General features: G+C 36.1%; 1 protein-coding gene across 91 annotated transcripts in view; it reads right to left on the minus strand.

Moving 5' to 3' along the window:
* Positions 1 to 22,138, minus strand: part of SSBP2 (single stranded DNA binding protein 2) — a 339,004-nt gene that overhangs the window by 124,613 nt on the left and 192,253 nt on the right. For 2 of the 91 annotated variants that reach the window (NR_174539.1, NR_174546.1), the window contains one exon: positions 13,421 to 13,676. The exons of 88 other annotated variants lie outside the window; for them this stretch is intronic. Coding sequence is in view for 1 of the 3 variants with exons in the window: in NM_001400356.1 (NP_001387285.1) it covers positions 13,421 to 13,514 (94 nt within the window). In the remaining 2 variants the exon portion in view is untranslated. The remainder of the gene's footprint in view (positions 1 to 13,420; positions 13,677 to 22,138) is intronic. One more of the 91 variants, NM_001400356.1, reaches the window with a different exon arrangement.

The raw sequence follows: 22,138 nt of genomic DNA on the forward strand, positions 1-22,138 counted from the left end.
GTGACCATCATGAGAAACAGGAGACAGCTTATTCTGGGATTAAAAAAACCCATCATCACTGAATAGAGACATACCTCACTTTATTGCACTTCACAGATATTGTGGTTGTTTTTGTTATTGTTTGTTTTTACAAATTCAAGGTTTGTGGCAACCATACCTTGAACAAGTCTCCATTCATCATTTATCCAACAGCATGTGCTCATTCAGGTCTGTCACATTTGGTAATTCTTGTAATACTTTATCATTATATCTGTTACGATTATCTGTTATCAGTGATCTCAGATGTTACTATTGTAGGACACCGTGAACCACACCCATACAAGACAAACATAATCCATAGATGGGTGTGTTCTGAGTGCTTTACCTACTGGCTGTTCCCCATCTCTGTCCCTCTCCTCAGGCTTCCCTATTCCCTGAGACACAACAATATTGAAATTAGGCCAATATTGAAATTATAACGGCCTCTAAGTGTTCATGCAAAAGGAAAAAGTTGCACTCTCCCATTTTAAAACAAAAGCTAAAAATGACAATAATATTAAAATTAGGCCAATTAATAACCCTATAATGGCCCCTAAGTGTTTCAAGTAAAAGGAAAAAGTTGCACATCTCTCACTCTAAATCAAAAGCTAAAAATGATCAAGCTCAGTGAGTAAGGCACGTCAAAAGCCAAGATAGGCCGAAAGCTAGTCCTCTTGTACCAAACAGTCAAGTTGTGAATGCAAAGGAAAAGTTCTTGAAGGAAATTAAAAGTGCTACTCCAGTGAAACACAGATGATAAGAAAGCAAAACAGCCTTACTGTTTATACAGAGAAAGATTTAGTGATGTGGATAGAAGATCAAACCAGCCACAACATTTCCTTAAGCCAAAGCCGAATACAGAGCAAGGCCCTAAGTCTCTTCAATTGAGTGGTAAGAGAGCAGCAGACAAAAAGTCTGATGTTGGCAGAAACTGGTTCATGAAGTTTAAGGAAGGAAGCTGTCTTTAGAACAAAACGGTGCACAGTGAAGCAGTAAGTGCTGATGTAGAAGCTGCACCAAGTTATCCAGAAGATCTAGCTAAGATCACTGATTATGGTGGTTATACCAAACAACAGATTTTCAGTGTAGATGAAACAGCCTTCTATTGAAAGATGCCATGTAGAACTTTCATAGCTAAAGAGCAGAAGTCAATGCATGCTTTCAAATATTCAAAGGCTGATTCTCTTGTTAGGCTGGTTCTCTTGTTAGCAGCTAATGCAGTTGGGGGCTTTAAGCTGAAGCCAATGCTCATTTACCATTCTGAAAATCCTATGGCCCTTCAGAATTACACTAAATCTACTCTGCCTGTGTTCTATAAATGGAACAACAAAGCCTGGGTGACAGCACATCTGTTCACAGAATGGTTTACCGAATATTTGAAGCCCACTGTTGAGACCTGCTACACGGAAGTCCTCTGCTGTTCATTGACAATGCATCTAGTCACCCAAGAGCTCTGATGAAGATATACAAGGAGACTGATGTTGTTTTCCTGACTGCAAACACAATATCTATTCTGCAGCCCATGGATCATGGCGTAACTTTGACTTTCAAGACTTATTATTTAAGAAATATATTTCATAAGGCTTTAACTGCCACAAATAGTGAATCCTTCGATGGGTCTGGAAAAAGTAAATAGAAAACCTTCTGGAAAGAATTCATTATTCTAGATGCTATTAAGAACATTTGTGATTCACGGGAGGAGATTAAAATAGTAACATAAACTAGAGTTTGGAAGTAGTTGATTCCAACCCTTGTGGATGACTTTAAGGGGTTCAAGACTTGAGTGGAAGAAGTCACTGCAAATGTAGTGGAAATAGAGGGAGAACAAGAATTACAAGTGGAGCCTGAAGATGTGACTGAATTGCTGCCAATCTCACGATATCAAACTTGACAGATGAGTTGCTTCTTATGGATGAGCAAAGAGAGTGGTTTCTTGAGATAGAATCTACTGGTGAAGATGCTATGAACACTGCTGAAACGATTACAAAAGATTTAGAATATTACATAAACTGAGTTGATAAAGCAGCGGCAAGGTTTAAGACTAAAACTGACTCCAATTTTGAAGTTCTACTGTGGGTCAAATGCCATCAAACAGTATTGTATGCTATTGAGAAATCATTTGTGAAAGGAAAAGTCATTCAATGTGGCAAACTTCATTGTTGTCTTATTTTAAGAAACTGCCACAGCCACCCCAGCATTCAGCAACCACCACTCTGATCAGTCAGCTGCCATCAATATCAAGGCAAGACCTTCCAACAGCAAAAAGATTTTGACTCACTGAAGGCTCAGAGAATTGTTGCCATTTCTTAGCAATAATTTTTTTATTATACTTTAAGTTCTGGATTACATGTGCAGAACGTGCAGGTTTGTTACATAGGTATACACGTGCCATGGAAGTTTGCTGCACCCGTCAACCCGTCATCTACATTAGGTATTTCTCCTAATGCTATCCCTCCCTTAGCCCCCCACCCCGACAGGCCCCGGTGTGTGATGTTCCCCTCCCTGTGTCCATGTGTTCTCATTGTTCAACTCTCACTTATGAGTGAGAACATGCAGTGTTTGGTTTTCTTTTCCTGTGTTAGTTTGCTGAGAATGATGGTTTCCAGCTTCGTCCATGTCCCTACAAAGGACATGAACTCATCCTTTTTTATGGCTGCATAGTATTCCATGGTGTATATGTGCCACATTTTCTTTATCCAGTCTATCATTGATGGGCATTTGGGTTGGTTCCAAGTCTTTGCTATTGTGAATGGTGCCGCAATAAACATATGTGTGCATGCATCTTTATAGCAGCATGATTTACAATCCTTTGGGTATATAGCCAGTAATGGGATCGCTGGGACAAATGGTATTTCTGGTTGTAGATCCTTGAGGAATCGCCACACTGTCTTCCGCAATGGTTGAACTGATTTATACTCCTACCAACAGTGTAAAAGCGTTCTTATTTCTCCACATCCTCTCCAGCATCTGTTGTTTCCTGACTTTTTAGCAATCGCCATTCTAACTGGCATGAGATGGTATCTCACTGTGGTTTTGATTTGCATTTCTCTGATGGCCAGTGATGATAAGCTTTTTTTCATATGTTTGTTGGCTGCATAAATGTCTTCTTTCGAGAAATGTCTATTCATATCCTCTGCCCACTTTTTCATGGGGTTGTTTTTTTCTCATAAATTTGATTAAGTTCTTTGTAGATTCTGGAACTAAGGTATGTACATTGTTTCTTTAGGTATAATGCTATTGCATGTTTAATAGAATACAGTATAATGTACATATAACTTTTATATGCCCTATAAAAGAAACCAAAACATGTGTGTGACTCAGTTTATGGCAATATTCACTTTATTGTGGTGCTCTGAAACCAAACTGCAGTATCTCCGATTTGCACCTGTAAATCACTCAAAAAGCATGACATGAAATGTAACTCCATTCAATATTAAGGGTTAAATATTAGAATTCCTGGAGGTCCTAGCCAGATCAATTGGGCAACAGAAAGTTAGAAAAAAAAAAAAGGTATCCAAATAAGAAAAGAAGTCAAACTATCTCTCTATGCAAACAATGTGTGATTCTATAGCTAGAAAACCTTAAAGACCCTGCCAAAAGTTTCCTGGAGCTGATAAACTACATCAGCACAGTTTCAGGATGTCAATTCAATGGAAAAAAAAATCAGCAGCATTTCTATATACTAATCATGTTCAAGCTGAGAGCCAAACCAAGAATGCAATCCCATTTACTATAGCCACAGGAAAAAAATAAAATAGCCAGGAATACATCTAACCAAGTAGTTGAAAGATCTCTACAAGGAGAACTACAAAATACTGATAACAGAAGTCATAGAAGACACAAACAAATGTAAAAACATCTCATGCTCACAGATTGGAAGAATCAATATTATTAAAATGGCGATACTGCCTAAGGCACTCTATAGATTCAATGCTATTCATACCAAACTACCAATGTCATTTTTCACAGAACTAGAACAAACGATTCTAAAATTCATATAGCACCAAAAAAGAGCCAAAATAGCCAAAGCAATCCTAAGTGAAAAAAAACAAAGCCAGAGACATCATATTACCTGACTTCAAACTATACTATAAGGCTACAATAAGCCAAAACAGCATGGTACTGGTCCAAAAAGAGACATATAGACTAATGGAACAGAATAGAGAACCCAGAAAAAAAGCTGCAGACCTACAGCCATCTGATCTTTGACAAAGTAGACAAAAATACTAAATGGGAAAAGGACCCCTATTCAATAAATGGTGCTGGGATAGTTGGCTAGCCATATGTGGAAGAATGAAACTGGGCCCCTACCTTTCACCATATACAAAAAATAACTCAAAATAAAGTATAGGTTTCAATGTAAAACCTCAAACTATAAGAATCCTAGAAAAAAAAGTAAGAAACACCATTCTGGACTTCGTCCATGGCAAAGAATTACGACTAAGTCCTCAAAAGCAATTGCAACAAAAACAAAAATTGACAAGTGGAACCTAATTCAACTAAAGAGGGTCTGCAAAGCAAAGAAACTATCAACAGAGTAAACAACCAACCTACAGAATGGGAGAAAGTATTCACAAACTCTGCATTCAACAAAGGTCTAATATCCAGAATCCGTAAGGACCTTAAATGAACAAGCAAAAAACATATAGCCTCATTAAAATATGGGCAAAGACATGAACAGACACTTCTCAAAAGAAGACATACAAGCGGCCAACAAACACATGAAAAAATGCTCCGCATCACTAATAATCAGAGAAATGCAAATCAAGACCACAATGAGATACCATCTCACCCAGTGAGAATGGCAATTATTAAAAAAGTCAAAAAAACAAAAACATGTTGGTAAGGCTGTGAAGAAAAGTGTTATACACTGTTAGTGGGAATGTAATTTAGTTCAGCCACCGTGGAAAGCAGTTTGGAGATTTCTCAAAGAACTCAAAACTATCATTCAACCCAGCAATCCCATTACTTGGCATAAAACCAAAAGTCAATAAATCATTCTATCAAAAAGACACATACACTCACATGTTCATAGCACCACTACTCACAATAGCAAAGACATGGTATCAACCTAGATGTCAATCAACAGTGGACTGGATAAAGAAAATAGATGCATAGTATTCCATGGTGTATACACATGGTATATATTCCATATACACCATGGAATACTATGCATCCACAAAAAAGAACAAAGTCATGGTGATATGGTTTGGTGCTGTGTCCTCACCCAAATCTCATCTGGAATTGTAATCCTCATAATCCCCATGTGTCGAGGGAAGGACCAGGTGGGAGGTGATTGGATCATGGGGTGGCTTCCCCTATGCTGTTCTTATGATAGTGACTTCTCATGAAATCTGATGGTTTTTATAAGTATTTGACAGTTTCTCTCTCTCTCTCTCTCTCTCTCTCTCTCTCTCTCCTTTCTTTCTTCTTTTTTTGAGACAGAGTCTGGCTCTGTCGGCCAGGCTGGAGTGCACTGGCACAATCTCGACTCACTGCAACCTCTGCCTCCCGGGCTGAAGCAATTCTCCTGCTTCAGCCTCCCGAGTAGCTGGGATTACAGGCATGTGCCACCATGCCCATTTAATTTTTGTATTTTTAGTAGAGACGGGGTTTCACCATGGTGGCCAGGGTGGTCTCGAACTCCTGACCTCAGGTAATCCGCCTGCTTCGGCCTCCCAAAGTGCTGGGATTACAGGCGTGAGCCACCCTGCCCGGCCAACATGCTTATACTCTCTCCTACAGCCTTGTGAAGAAGGTGCCTACTTCCCCTTCCACCACGATTGTAAGTTTCCTGAGTCCTCCCCAGCCATGCGGAACTGTAAGTCAATTAAAACTCCTTTGTTTATAAATTACCCAGTCTTAGGTAGTATCTCTGTAGCAGTCTAAGAACAGACTAATACACATGTCCTTTGCAGCAACATGGATGCAGCTGGAGGCCATTATTTTAAGCAAATTAATTCAGGAACAGAAAACCAAATATCACATGTTCTCACTCAGAATTGGGGGCTAAACAATGGGTACTCATGATCATAACGATGCCAGCAATAGACACTGAAGACTACTAGAGGGGAGAGGAAGAGAGGGAACAAGGGTTGAAAAACTCACTATTGGGTACTATGCTCAGTACCTGGGTGATAAGATCATTCATACCCTAAACCTCAGCATCATGCAATACATCCAGGTAACAAACCTACATATATGTATCCTCTGAATCTAAAATAAAAGTTGAAAAAAAAGAATTCCTATCACAGTGACTATGGATACTCATGTATAGCTTCAACTATACATGCTATATCCTACAAATAGTAGGCATTCAATAATTATTTGCTAAATGAAAGAATGAAGAAACAAATAAATGTCATTTAAAACAAGACATCCAAATTACTAATTTTTTTCTACCCTTTAAATCAAATATAACTACTCTGCTAAGTATATCTAGAGTTTTCCAAAACAATGTAATATAAATAAAATGGATATGTTTGCTGTGCAATACTGAAATAAACAATATATAATTATAAACAATAATCTACTTATATGCTCAAACACTGACACTATCTTCATGATGCAATTCTTTCTCTTCACAAAAACACCAAACTTCCACCTTTCTTTCTTCCTTCCTTTTTTTCCTTTGAGACGGAGTCTCGCTCTGTGGCCCAGGCTGGAGTGCAGTGGCGGGATCTCGGCTCACTGCAAGCTCCGCCTCCCGGGTTCACGACATTCTCCTGCCTCAGCCTCCTGAGTAGCTGGGACTACAGGCGATGCCACCACGCCCGGCTAATTTTTGTATTTTTAGTAGAGACGGGGTTTCACCATCTTGGCCAGGCTGGTCTTCAACTCCTGACCTCGTGATCCGCCCCCCTCAGCCACCCAAGGTGCTTGGATTACAGACCTAAGCCACTGCGCCTGGCCCACCTTTATTTCTTATTGTCAAGTGAAGCCTCTTTGACTCTGGAAGGCAATCAGGCATCTTTTTATTGACCAGCTGTATAACTGGGCACCCTGTAATGTATTTCAGGACAAGAAATGAGCAGGTGTGTCTCTTGAACTTCGCCTAAACATGTATTAAGTCTAACTTACATTCTTTGGAGAAATAGTACAACTCATTTTGATGATTCCACAGAAAGACATAAAAGGAAGGAATGTTTAAAAGGAATCATTGTGGTTTTGTTTGTTTTTGCAGGGGGAGAACAAAACTAAGAGTAAATGTGCTGATATCCTAATTGTTCAAAGGGGAAAAAAACAGAAAAATAAAAACAATAATGTCACTGATTTAGTGAACAAAGAAAGGAATATGGTAGAGACTGGATGCTCACTAAACCTGTTTTTGCTTCTCAGACACACAGCCAAACTACATTTCCCAGCCCTCCTTTATGTGAGCAGAGGTCATGTGACTGAGTTATGGCAAATATGTACAAAGTGGGTGGAAGTGATAACAAGGTGCTTCCAAGTTTGGCCCATGAAACCTCACACACAATTCCCCATATATTATGCTCTGCTGTTCTCCACATATGGACTGAATATAGAGGAGGATAAGGCCCAACATATGGTAGGACTATGTGAAGGAAGGAGTATGAGACTCTCACTGACTGTACAAAGTAGAGCCACCCACCTCTTCTATCCATCATCACTCCTCTACACTTTAGGGTGGCCAGCTTTAACAATTAATAAGTATACAGAGAGCACAGCTGAATTTGAATTTCAGATAAAACACATATTTTTTTAGTATAAGTATGCCTTATACAGTATTAAAGACATAACTATATATGTATGCAATATTTAGGATATACTTAAAAATTGTTTATTGCTTATTTGAAATTCAAATGTAACTGGGCATCTTGAATTTTATCTGGCAATCCTATACATAGTAGACTGTGACATAAGGTAAGAAATAAACTTTTATTGTATTAAGGCACTGAAATTTGGGATTTTTTTACAACCACTTTCCTACCTTGACTAATAAAAAACATACAAATACTATTTTAAAGAACAGTAATAGAAATAATTAGTAGTAGTAATACTAACAATAGCAATAAAAATAATTAGTTGTGTGAATAAAGTCTGAAACTATCACCACATAGTTGATTTGTGGTCAAGCTGTTAACAAACCAAGTTCTTCTGCCTCTCAGGCACAGTATACACAACAACTGAGATTCATGGAATTCATATATACTTGTTGATTACATATTAGGTGTGATATACTCTGGGATATATATACAATGAACAAGACACATTTTGTGCTTTCAGGGGCGTAGCAGGTCAGCTTAGACAAGTACTAACCCTTGTATAATACAAAAAACAATATATGGCAAATTAAAAGGGAAAACTGTGTTAATAAACAGTCTTTAATTCTGATACCACAAAAGTTGTTACCAAAGTGGCATGAAGAGAAAAACTGATTTATAAAAAGGCAGAGAGAGTATTTTAGTTTTAATTTCTTTGTCATAGGCCTTTGCTCCCAGAATCCAATGTCCACTCCATTCTTGGTGAGCTAGACAGATGAAATTTCCTTCCCTTCCTTTTCCCTAAAATAGTTTTAAAGGGAATGTTTAAGCACAAGCTGGTTGATCAGATGAAATTCCCTTTCCTTCTTTTTTCCTTCAATAGTTTTAAAGAGAATGTTTAAGTACAAGCCTGGCTGATCAAGAACAATGGCTATCATTTATTAATCACCTACTGAGTGTTAGGCATTGTACCAAGTACTTTATGTAATCTCATTTAATCATTATAATAGCAATGAATAGGCATTATCTTTCCCACTTTACAAATAAGGAAGCTATGCCACACATAACTTTACACAACTTGTCCAAGGCCACATATTACTAAGTAGCAAAATCACAATTTTATGATTCAGTTCTAATTCCAAAGCTTGTATTCTTGATCACTAATTTACCTTGCAAAATGATTCCTTTCAGATTGATTATTCTTTACCTCAACCCAATAAAATCTTTACTGATATAGGAGTCAATTTTTAGGTGAAATTTGCAAATGTCTATTTTTTTCTTTATGCTAGGGCACTAACTAGACAAACAATAACAAAAATTGCTGCTGCCAGAAGGCATATAAATACCTTCTCGGTGTCTTCAACTTTAATGTTCAAGAGATTTAGTCTTTTTAAGGCTTGAGTTACTCTTACAATACGTCTTTGAGGTCAAAGGGAAAATATTTTTCATTAGAACTGTTCAGATATATCCAAAGATAAAACTACTAGTCTGCTTAAAATACTAATTTTCTTAGAACAACTATCATTTCCAGTTTTCCTTTCCATTAATTTTAGTAAAATATTATGAATCCATGGTAACTTTTGGACAGGCTACTGGAGAACAGAAAAGTCAGTGAATTTATTGATCAATGATTTCTAGAAAAAATGACTTTTCAAAAGAAACCTGCCTTCTAACACAATGCCAATCTTATGAACATTAAATATAAAATGTTACAATATGTTCCATAAAACCTTTATAGAACATATTGTAACATTTTTAAAAAATCAATCACAAAGAATTCTCTTAAGAATACACGAGAACAATGATTGTTAAAAGTTTTCACCAAGACTAATCATCATTCATAGTTTGGGTTTTTATAGTAAAGGGCAAATCTTGGCCAAAAAAAAAAAAAAAAAAAAAGTCTATCAAGAAATACATGTTCAGGCCAAAATCCAGAACACTAACACCACCATAAAATGCTGGTGGGGATTTGAAGCAACAGGAACTCATCCATTGCTGGCGGAAATGCAAAACGGCGCAGCCACTTTGGAAGACAGTTTGGCAGTTTCTTACAAAAACCAAACATATTTTTACCATATGATCCAGCAACTGCTCTCCTTGATACTTACCCAAGGAGTTGAAAACCTATCCCCAAACAAAAATCTGCACATAGATATTTGTAGCAGCTTTATAATTGCTGATTCTTAGAAACAACCAAGATGTTCTTCAGTGGGTGAGTAGAGAAATAAATTGTATCACATCCAGACAACGGAATATTATTCAGTGCTAAAAAGATATGAGGTATCAAGCCATGAAAAGATGTGGAGAAAACATTTTTTTTTTCTTTGAGACAGGATCTCACGCTGTTGCCCAGGCTGGAGTGCAGTGGCACAATCATAGCTCACTGCAACCTTCAACTCCTGGGCTTGAGCAATCTTCCTGCTTCAGCCTTCCAAGTAGCTAGGACTATAAGCACATGCCACCATGTCTAGCTAATTTTTTTGTTTTTATTTTTTGTAGAGACGATGTCTTGCTATGTTGCCCAGGCTGGTCTCAAACTCCTGGGCTCAAGTGATCCTCCTGCCTTGGACTCACAAAATGCTGGAATTAAACATATGAGCCACTGTGCCCAGCTTAGAAAACTTAAATGCATATTACTAAGTGAAGGAAACCAATCTGAAAAGGCTACATACTGTATGATTCCAAATATATGATATTCTGGAAAAGGCAAAAGGAGACAGTGAAAAAATCAACAGTTGCCAATAGTTGGAGGAAGGGAAGGATGAAAAGATAGGACACAAGGATTTTTAGGGCAGTGAAACTATTCTGTATGTTACTGTGTAAACCCATGGAATATACAATATACACGTATAAACCCATGGAATATACAATATATACGTATCCCAGAACTTAAAGTGTAATAAAAAATTATTGCTAAAAACTGCCAACAATTCTCTGAGCCTTCAGTGAGTCATAATCTTTTTGCTGTTGGAGGGTCTTGCTTTGATATTGATGGCAGCTGACTGATCAGAGTGGTAGTTGCTGAATGAACCCTAATGTATATTAGGGTATACATAATGTATACTGCATATTCCATGGGTTGTATATTCTCTAATGTAAACTGTGGACTTTGGGTGACAATGTGTCAATGCAGGTTCATTGATCATAACGAATGTACACTGTGGGCGCAGCATGCTGATAAAAGAGGTTGTGTGTTAGAGGCAGAGGGGTATATGGGAAACCTCTGAACTTTCTACTCAATTGTGCTGTGAAGTGTTCTAATAATAAAATATACTTAAGAAATATATGTTCAGACAGCACTATACCAGTCCTTGAATTCTTAAGAAAAATATTCTATTATGGATCTAATGCATATTACTTCTGCCCAAGTAGTACTTCATGACATTTGTATGTATTAAAGTGAAATGACTCAAAAATCCTGCCTCTTCTCCCGCGAACTTACTAAAATGGGCTATGGAATATATTTAAAAATGTACAATATTGGCCAGGCACAGTGGCTCACGCCTGTAATCCCAGCACTTTGGGAGGCCGAGGCAGGTGGATCACGAGGTCAGGAGATCAAGACCACCCTGGCTAACACAGTGAAATCCCGTCTCTACTAAAAATACAAAAAATTAGCCAGGTGTGGTGGTGGGCACCTGTAGTCACAGCTACTCGGGAGGCTGAGGCAGAAGACTGGCGTGAACCCAGGAGGCAGAGCTTGCAGTGAGCCAAGATCACGCCACTGCACTCCAGCCTGGGCGACAGAGCGAGACTCCATCTCAAAAAAAAGTACAATATTAAGAAGATAGTTTTGTCTTTCATAAACTGAAATTTTATACATATTTAACTGACATTATATTTATTTTATCTAAGAAAGAAGAGCTTAGATACCTAATAAGCAAGATATAGTTATAGTTTTTAAATTATCAAAGGAAACCTCTAACTGATAAGCTATTATCTGGCTTCAAGTCTTAAAAATGTTAAATTTCCAAAATTTAAAAAATCTTCTTTATCTTTTTACCCATAATGTTGAAGACTTAGTTCAATCACTACCACACCTTAACTGTGCCATTGAAATAAGTACCATTAAAATAAGGAGCATTTGGTTTACCTTCCTGCCTTCATCTTTCTCTTCATCAATCAATCTCTCGCCTTGCTCTGACAATGTTGCATCATACTGTCAAATATTGCTGCTGTGATCACGTCACTGATATATTCGAGTATCTTCCATGAGTCCCATTTATCTAAACATCCTATGTTTCTTAATCTTATAATAAATACCTCCACGCCCTGAATCCAAATTGCGTTTCCAGGCCTTACTGCTACAACCTTCTCGCACGTATCCTACACATAACCTACTTGTGTTATTGTATATGCAATAATCTTGTGCTACTGTATATGCATCTGCTTTCCCAAGCAAAACTCTAAGCCCTTTGGAAAGAACAGTGTACCTCATAGCCTCCACCTATAATGGTGTGTGGTAGTATCTACTGAAAGAATACATGAATGATTCATACAAAAATTATACCAATTAGAGGGCTCTGATTATGACCGTAATTTTACTGATCATTTTTAAGCAATGTTATTGAGAAATGATTGATGGATAAAAAGATGTCCACATTTAATATATACAATTTGCTATGTTTGAGGTAAGCATAGGCTCTTGAAACCACCACCCTCTAAGGTGATAATTACTGATCATTTATCGACTGCCTGTTACTATGGCACTAAGGTTTGGTTTTTTGAAGTACGGTAAGTCACACTTTTCAGGTGAATTAGATTTTGGTATATCCCTTCTCACCTTTTGTGCCCTGCTTTTCTAATAGCAGTCTTCTTTTGAGAGGATGCTCTGTCCTCTCTCCTTTTTTTGTTACACTTTCCCACCCTCCATCTTCAAGACAAATGCCACATTCAGAGTTTAAAGAAATAGAAGACTATATCTCACATATTTACTCTTGCTTGCTGTACTGGTTAAACATCAACGTATGCATTTTAACCTATGTTGCTGTACACGAACGTTAATAGTAATTAACTATATTTTATGCTCCAAATCTGTTTTCTGACATTTGGAAAGAATAACTATGCTTCTGATACTATTGTTGTCTCTGATATTATTTAACATAATCAAGTTTTATTTAACTTCTCCTGTTTGGTTTTGACTTTCTACCAAAACTGCAAATTCCTTGAGGGCCACAATCCTATCTTATATTATTGTATTATCTAACAAAACCTCATTCAGCACCTTAGACTTAACAGCTAGATGTTGAATAAATAGCATTATTGAAATGTCATATTAAAATACTCATTTTTTTTACCAAAGTAATTTTATTAATGAGAAAATGAAAAGTAATCATTTAAAGATATTAAAAAGAGGGGCATGAAAAAATTACACTCATCCATTCTTTGACCTTTGTTTTGATTTTGCACAAATGGTCTAGAACCTCAAAATAACCCTTAGCTGATTTTAACTGAGCAGAATGGGACAATCTGACTCTCTACATAAATCACAACATGTCAACAACTCTCTATTTGACTTAACCATGTAGATATAATTTTAGGATTTGCCTTGTTTGTATTCTATGGAATCATAGATAAGAACTTACCAAACTAATTCTGAGCTCCCCAAACACAGGAATTATGTTTACAATAAAAGAAGTTTAGAAATCATAGAAGAGGCCAGGCGCGGTGGCTCACACCTGTAATCCCAGCACTTCGGGAGGCCGAGGCAGGTGGATCACGAGGTCAGGAGATCGAGACCATCCTGGGTAACACGATGAAACCCCGTCTCTACTAAAAATACAGAAAATTAGCCAGGTGTGGTGGCAGGCGCCTGTAGTCCCACCTACTCAGGAGGCTGAGGCAGGAGAATGGCATGAACCCGGGAGGTAGATCTTGCAGCGAGCGGAGATCACACCACTGCACTCCACCCTGGGTGACAGAACGAGACTCCATCTCGAAAAAAAAAAAAAAAAAAAGAAATCATAGAAGAAGAATGTTCATGTTATTATTATAACTAACTAGGAATCAATTGCTTTTCACTATTAAAACAACAAATTATTTAGCCTATACAATTTTTTCCTGTATTATCTCACTACACTAAAAATACATTTGGTTTTGGGAATTAGAAAAACAAGACCTTATTTTTCTTAAGTATATGTATCTGCTTGATAACAATAAATCTGATAATTTTATTTGCAGAAGATATTCAACATAAGCATAATCACAGTTTTCCTAATTAATGGTATTTCAAGTGAAGCACCTTAGGTATCCATTTTTGGAATTTTATCATACTCATGATTTAAAAAGTTTTAGAAATGCAAATACTTTTATATAGCATTAACCTCTAAAATGCTGACAGTCAGTCTACAATCAGTCTTTCTCAATGGGAAGGCTTGAACAACAAGTGATTCCAGGCGGCAATTTTCCACTTGCATTCTGTTATTTATTAAAATAAAAGTATTTATTACTTATTTACTAAAATATTTAAAAGAAATGTAACTGCATTTCTTCCAGTAAAGCTCTCAACTTAAATCTTATTTAAATTTTTTGTTGGTCACGTGACATTTAGTAATTATATGTCAGTGCTGAAAACAATTAAAATTAAGTTTTGTGGAATGTAAAAATGTATACTTTATTAAATTTAGAGACAGTTACAATTTATGCTTATTTTTATGTCATTGTCCTGGTACTTAAAAAATATCTACAAGACTATTATTTTAAAATGTTGACAACTATTAAATAGATCTAAAGTAATTACACATTTTGATGCTTATTGTACATTTCTTAGGAAATTTCTAAGAATTTGAAGAGGCTATTTTCAGAAAACATTTAATTGAATCATAAAAGGTATCAGTGTATCAACTCACACTTCACACACTGTGATCTCACTTACATTCCTTTTTTAGTTACATTCACTTGACATTAGGAAAATATTGGATATGGCTTATTTTGTTTTGTAGCATAAAATTAATAACATTATCTTGGTTAGTGAGTATATGAATATTTGTGCTAATTCTTGTATAGAGAGATAAATAAGCAAACAAGAGCCTAAAAGTATGTTTAATGCTAGTTCTCAAATCCATATGACATAGCTGGGTTCATATAATATGTATTTAGAATAAATATCTATAGTTAAGAAGTAGAGTGAACCTAATATTTAATTATCATCGGAAACTGTATTAAGAAACCAGAAATTTACAGTCAAAACAAAGTAAAGGCCGGGCACGGTGGCTCATGTCTGGTGATCCCAAAATTTTGGGAGGCCCAGGTGGGTGGATCACTTGAGGACAGGAGTTTGAGACCAGCCTGACCAACATGGTAAAACCCTGTCTCTACTAAAATACAAAAATTAGCCAGGTGTGACGACACATGCCCATAATCCCACCTACTTGGGAGGCTGAGGCACAAGACTCACTTGAACCCAGGAGGCAGAGGATGCAGTGAGCTGAGATCACACCACTGCACTCCAGCCTGGGCAACAGAGCAAGACTATGTCTCTTAAAAAAAAAAAAGAAAAAAGAAAGAAGAAAAAAAAAAACCCAAAGTAAAACAGGATTTACAGAAAATAATGTAAAGGTGTGCATGTGAAGAGGAATTGGTAGAACAAAAATACAGTTTTGGATTCTTTAATTTTTTTAAGTTAACCTGTGACTCAAATAGTGATAGACTTTTAGTAATTATAAAGAGCATGAAAATGCTAAGTAGGTCTGGAATTTATAAATTCTTCTTCATCCATTTATACAGCAATGGATAATATTACACAGCATGTAATATTATCTCTTTACCTGAAAAAGCAACATTAAAAATAGGTCACAGCTTCTGAGGGAGGATACAAACTGTCAGGAGTACTTCCAGCACAGTAGCAGTTCAGGAAATGAGGATGATAATGAGACTCCATGACTGCTGAGAATCGGAAGAGGAGGTATGAATTCTCATTCAACCCTAACAATTGTCCATTGTCCATGAGGCCTTGGGTGAGTCACTTAAGCTCAGTGATTTGATTAACAGCAATATTGAATTTACCTTCCTCAATATGGATTGTAAGGTTAAGTAGAGCCAACACGAAATGTACATGCAAAACCTATTCTTTCACTTGTGACCCTACTCTCTGTAACTACCTTTTATGTTTTATTTTCTCTAGACAAGTTAAATATTTATAAAAATTACAAAGGCTGAGAGATCAATTCTAAAAATATAAGAATCTTTCAGAAACAAGTTTATTTTATAAGGGAAATAGCAGGATTGTGATACACTCCACCCTGCACCTCTCCACACACTACATACTAGCTACTCCCTAAACCCCAGACTTGGGCTGGACATTTTCTTAACTCATAGCATCAGAAAAATATCATTACTGAAGTAAACTTATAAAGTTATAGAAATGGCTAGCTATTTTCCAGTAATCATATAAAAACTCAGAAAAATTTATAACCAGAATAATTCTCCTTTATGTTTCAATTACTTAGAAATTCAGTAACAAACATCATCAAAATATACATATTGCTTCATATATTTATATATAAATAAAATATCATCATCAGGGCAGCAGGAAATAGAGGCAGCAGGGTGTAGAAGTGAGATAAGGACAGGATGTTGTTGTTTCAGCAGAACAATTTACAATGTATTTACTTTTTATACAAGTGAACTAAATGTTTGTATAGTTAACTTTCTTGTTTTCCTTTTTTGCTTTCTCTTCTTTTCTTACCATCCTTTCCTACCTTTATCCTTTCCTGCTTTCTTTCCCTCCTTCTCTCCTACCCTTTTTTATTAATACTTTCTTCCACCCAACACTGATTTTTGGCTGAGACCACAGTTTCAACAAGAAATAAAAACTGCATTACTCAGGAAGGAACTAATAAACTTCCCCTCCCCCAAATGCCATTAGAGACTTCCTGAATAAATGAGAAATCCATTAATTTTAAAAAAAGAGAGTGCTTGCATAAGTAACAAAAACAGATTCCGGTCTACATTATGATTAAAATCAACTTGAATAATAAAAATTAGATATAAATAAGATCCATTAGGACATCTGACACATCTATGGCCAGTGATGCTTGGTCCCAACAATGTGTAGACTTTTTTAGTCCATTGTCAAACAATCATAAGTGGGACTTCTACCACTTCTCCTTAAAAAATTCTGTAACATAATGGATTTAATTAACATGAAATTTCTTGTAAATATGCCTATTACTGACATTCTTTCATTCAAAACCATTTCATTATTCATGGTCATACTAGTTAGTGGAATGGCTGAATAAAATAATGCACAAGTATGTACAATTTTAAATATATAATTATATTTATTTAATTTTAGATAATAATTATATATTTAATTAACACAAAGGCTCAAATTTTATATTTCACATAAAAACACTATGTATATCCACATATATTCTTGCTCTGAGGCTCATTCTCTATTGAATTAATTTGTTTTTAACAATGGTTACATAAAAATTCCTCCTACAAATTATATTTTAGTTATAGCTAATAAACCACTAGCCTTTTTGACTTATATTTAAAGGACAAATAGAAAAAGAGGTTTAGAATTGTTATTTGCTTTGGTTTGTTTGTTTTGCATGACAGTTTATGGGCAAGCCAGTAATTTGTATCCTAAGCTTTTATACTAAGATAGCTCTCAACAACTGATTTGGTCATTATAGAGATAATAAATACCATTCATGATGATAATTTAAATAAAAATGTGTTGACTTAAGAGATAAACTTTGGTAAAATCTGATTTCTCTTCTGTTTCAATGACTCCTAACATAGTACAGCCACTGAAAGGAACTTAATGCTTGTCAGGAGCCATTGAACTTTATAGTGAGCATCTGGGTAGTGCCACCGTGCAGATGTTGCAGTAGAATACCACAGTAAAACTACTTTAAGTTTCATCTGGTTAATAACAGTACTTCACTCAATATTGCTTTCTGTAATTTCTGATTATTTTTGACCAAATAAAATTTCTTTGCCTTGTTTAAAGAAATAATTGTGATTTCTTACAAAACAAGGTCCTCCACTTCTATAATAAAGTACAGACTTTATTTATAGCAAAATAAATTTAATTTTTCTAATTAAAAATAAATCACTAATATAAAACATTATCAGTAAGTCACAAAACTAAGAACATCTGTATAAACTAATAAAAATCTGTATCTTAGGAAATAAGGAACATTTACAAATGTTCCTAAATGTGATTTATAATTTATATAACTCATTTTGGTTGTTTTTTATGGAAAGTCATTTTCAGGGACTACTCATATATTAGCCCATGTAAATTGTGGTTAAATATAAGAAATTAAAGACACCAAATGTGTCCTTAGTGGCATTATCAAAAATATTTCTCCAACTTCTTTGGCAACTTGAGCATTTTCCTTATACATCTTCCAGGATGCCTCATCTTTGCCTGACCCTGCCACATTGTCTTCACATTCTAATTAGCTTGGGCTTCTATGTTGTCACCCTGGTCTACTAGTAGTCAGTTTTATTACTAACACAATAATATATGTTCATTGTACAAAAATCAGAAAACACATAGAACCAGTAAGAAAATAAAAATCAAATATAACAATTGCTGTTAACATTTTATGTAAATCATTTAGATAAAAATGAGATCAATGTACAATCTGTATCAGTTTGTAAAGTGATTTTCTATTAAAAATATATTCTTAATATCTTCTAGTTCTCTGAGTCTCCACATTTTTGGTATTTTTCTCTTTTTCTCAAAACATTTTTCCAAGTTTTTACTGCTTTATTATTCTAGAAAAGAGATCAGCAAACTTTTCCTGAAAATGAGCAGATAGTAAATATATTAGGCTTTGCAGGCCTTATAGTCTCTGCTGCAGCCATTTAGATCTGATATTCTAGTGCAAAAGCAGCCACAGACGTACGTCAAGAATGGGCATGGCTATGTTCCAAATAAAACTTTATTTACAAAAATTGGCAGGAGTTTGCTGGCCCATATTCTAGACAATTGCTTATAAAGAGATATTGCATATCATAATTACTATCACCCCTGCAGAAAGTTTCATTTATTATCTTTATATATTATCTTTATATAGTGACCTTTTCCTACCAATACAGATTTACCCCAACACACAATATCAAGGACTATGTTCATTTCCAGTGGTCGTTGCCAATGTGAATCTTCAAAAGCAGTTAAAAATTCTCCATGTTTTACGGGTACCAGAAAGACTTTCTCAGCTCAGTATCTTAGAAACCTATATTTCAATAGCAAAGAAAGAAGGAGTCTCTTCCCTCTCCCCTATTGCCAAGAAAAGTTGAAGTTAAATGAGGAGTAACTTGCTAACACAGACAATTTTAGTCCCTGTTTCGAATCCATGAAAGAGAAATTGATATTGAAGGAGTTGTGATTAGCAGGAAACCTACAAGTTTATATGCATGCACATCCATGCTCTGCTCCTTCCATACTGTGACAATGATAGAGGTCTTTCTCCTCCTAGGGTCCTTTATTTACTTTTACTATGGATCCTATTCCCTACTGCCTTTTCATGAAATCCTTATCGTTAAATCCAAACATCATTTTCATCCCTTGCCTTGCTTAAAAGACAGCATGATATACTAGTTAAGAGCACAAATTCTATTGTCAAATTGCATGAGTTCAAATCCTGATTCTGTTCGCTTATTAGCTATGCATTTTCTCAGGCAACTCACTTAACTTCTCTATACCTCATTTTTTCATTATCATATAACAATTCTGCAGGTATCTAGCCCAAAGGATTGTTGTGAAAGTTAAATTAATACATGCAAAACTGCTTATACCAATACCTGGTCCATAATAAGCTCTATAAAAAAGCTGTACATAACTTTTGTGATGACACAGTCTCTGGGTTTTTCTCTCACCTCTGTGATTCATCCTTTCTAATCTCACTTTCATGTTGGCCTCTTCCTTCATACTCTGGTACTCCTTAATGTGGATAAAAAGAGCCTTTATGGCCTAGCCTCTATTTAACTCTTGACAAATTCTAGGTTGATGTTTGTTTCTTCTGTACTTTAAAGATGTTGTTCCACTGTCTTCTCATTTGCATTACTTTCAACAAAAAGTTTGCTGAAATCTTCATCATTTTTCCTCTATACATAATGTGACTTTTCTACAGGCTGCTTTTTAGATTTTCTCTTAGCCACTGGTTTTGAACAATTTGATTATCACATGCATTGGTGTATTTTTCTTCATGTTTTTGTGCTTGAGTTCTTTGACTATCTTGGATCTCTAAGTTTATAGTTTGCCTTAAATTTGGAAGACTTTTGGCAGTGATTTATGTAAGCGTTTTTTCTGTCCTCCTTATCTCTCTCCTCTCCTTTGGGTGATTCTAATTCTAAGTATATTAGGCTTTTTGAGGATACCCCAGAGCTCACTACTGCTCTACTCTTCTCCTCCTAGTTTTAAGGCTTTTTCCCCTTCACTCTGTAATTCATTTTGGACAGTTTCTATTGCTATGTCTTCAAGTTTACTAATCTTTGCTTCTGCAATGTCTAATATACCATTAATCCCATCCAGTGCATTTTTCCATCTCTAAATGTTGGATTTGGTTCTTTCTTGATATTCCATATTTCTACCTAACATGTTTCATTATCCTCTAAGTTTTTGAATATATGGAACATTATAACAAGTGTTTTAAAGTATTTTCTAGTTCTAAAATCTATGCCAGTTATAGATTGGTTTTGATTCGTTTTTCTCCTCATTATGGATCATATTTTCCTGCTTCTGTGCAATGTCTGGTAATGTCTGATTGAAATCCAGACATTATGAATTTTACTTTGTTGGGTGCTGGATTTACATTTCTATATATATTCTTGAGCTTTGTTCTGGGACACAGCCAAATTACTTAAAAATTGTTTGAACCTTTTGATTCTTGCTTTTAAGATTTCTTAGATGGCACTCAAGCAGCATGGAGTAAGTATTCCATGTAGCAAGGCCCTTCTAAGTATACTATCCAATACCCTGTGAATTACGAGGTTTTGCATTCCTTCTGCCATATACTGTTACAGTACCCTGTGCTTTCCCTAAATAAAAGCACCTCTCATACTTCATTGAAATCACTTACCTGGTTGTTTTCTCAAAATATACCTCTTTCTCCATACTGTTGCTACATGTCTTAGTCTGGGTGGCTATCACAAATTAACAAAAACTGGGTGGCTTAAACAATAAACATTTATTTCTGTCAGTTCTGGAGGCTATGAAGTCCAAGATCAAGGTGCTGGCAGATCTGGTGTCTGGTGAGGACACACTTCCTGGTTTGCAGATGGCTATCTTCCTATTGTATCCTCACACGACAGAGAACAGAGAGAGATATTTTATATTCCTAACACCTGGTGCAGTCCTGGCACAGTAGGTGCTACTTGAATAAATATGAACATGAATAAATATGAACATTAATAGATGAATGTTGGCAAAATGTAAAATTTTGCATGTCTAAACTAAAGTTGTGTCATCAATGCCTCAAGATGAACTATCCTTTTCCTAACTAACATGACTTGTCTAAACATAGTGGTATTCTTTTATTCTTCAGGAAATCAGAACAACCTGCATGTTTGAATATAAAAGCTTGGTTAAACTTGTATTTTGCTTTCTATCTCTTCTAAGATGTCTTTTACTTTCTTTCCTATCTCTTTGACATAAGGTTCCAGGACAAATTAATTGTCAAAGCAAAAATATTTATCATACAAAAGAGTAGTACTGTCTATATTTACTATGGCTTGTCAGAATAGAACATCTGATCTCTTAAACAGTGTCATAATGCCTAGACTTATCAGAGGAACATCTAAGAAGTATCTTCCTCAGCATGATTAGAAAGATGTTTTTAAAAATTATTTATAGGCCGGGCGCAGTGGCTCACGCCTGTAATCCTACCACTTTGGGAGGCCAAGGTAGGTGGATCACGAGGTCAAGAGATCGAGGCCAGTCTGGCCAACATGGCGAAATCCCATCTCTACTAAAAATACAAAAATTAGCTGGGTGCGGTGCTCACGCCTGTAATCCCAGCACTTTGAGAGGCCAAGGCAGGTGGATCATGAGGTCAGGAGTTCGAGACCAGCCTGACCAACATGGTGAAACCCCATCTCTACTAAAAATACAAAAAATCAGCCGGGCGTGGTGGGCCGTGCCTGTAATCCCAGCTATTCAGGAGGCTGTGTCAGGAGAATTGCTGGAACCCGGGAAGCGGAGGTTGCAGTGAGCCGAGACTGCGCCATTGCACTCCAGCCTGGTTGACAGAGCGAGATTTCATCAAAAAAAAAAAAAAAAAAAAATTAGCTGGGCATGGTGGCACATGCCTGTAGTCCCAGCTATTTGGGAGGCTGAGGCAGGAGAATAACTTGAACCCAGGAGGCTGAGGTTGCACCATGGCGCTCCAGCCTGGCAACAGAGTGAGATTCCATCACAAAAAAGGAAAAAAAAT

Source organism: Homo sapiens, chromosome 5, assembly GCF_000001405.40.
Source record: "Homo sapiens chromosome 5, GRCh38.p14 Primary Assembly".
Classification (NCBI taxonomy): Eukaryota; Metazoa; Chordata; class Mammalia; order Primates; family Hominidae; genus Homo; species Homo sapiens.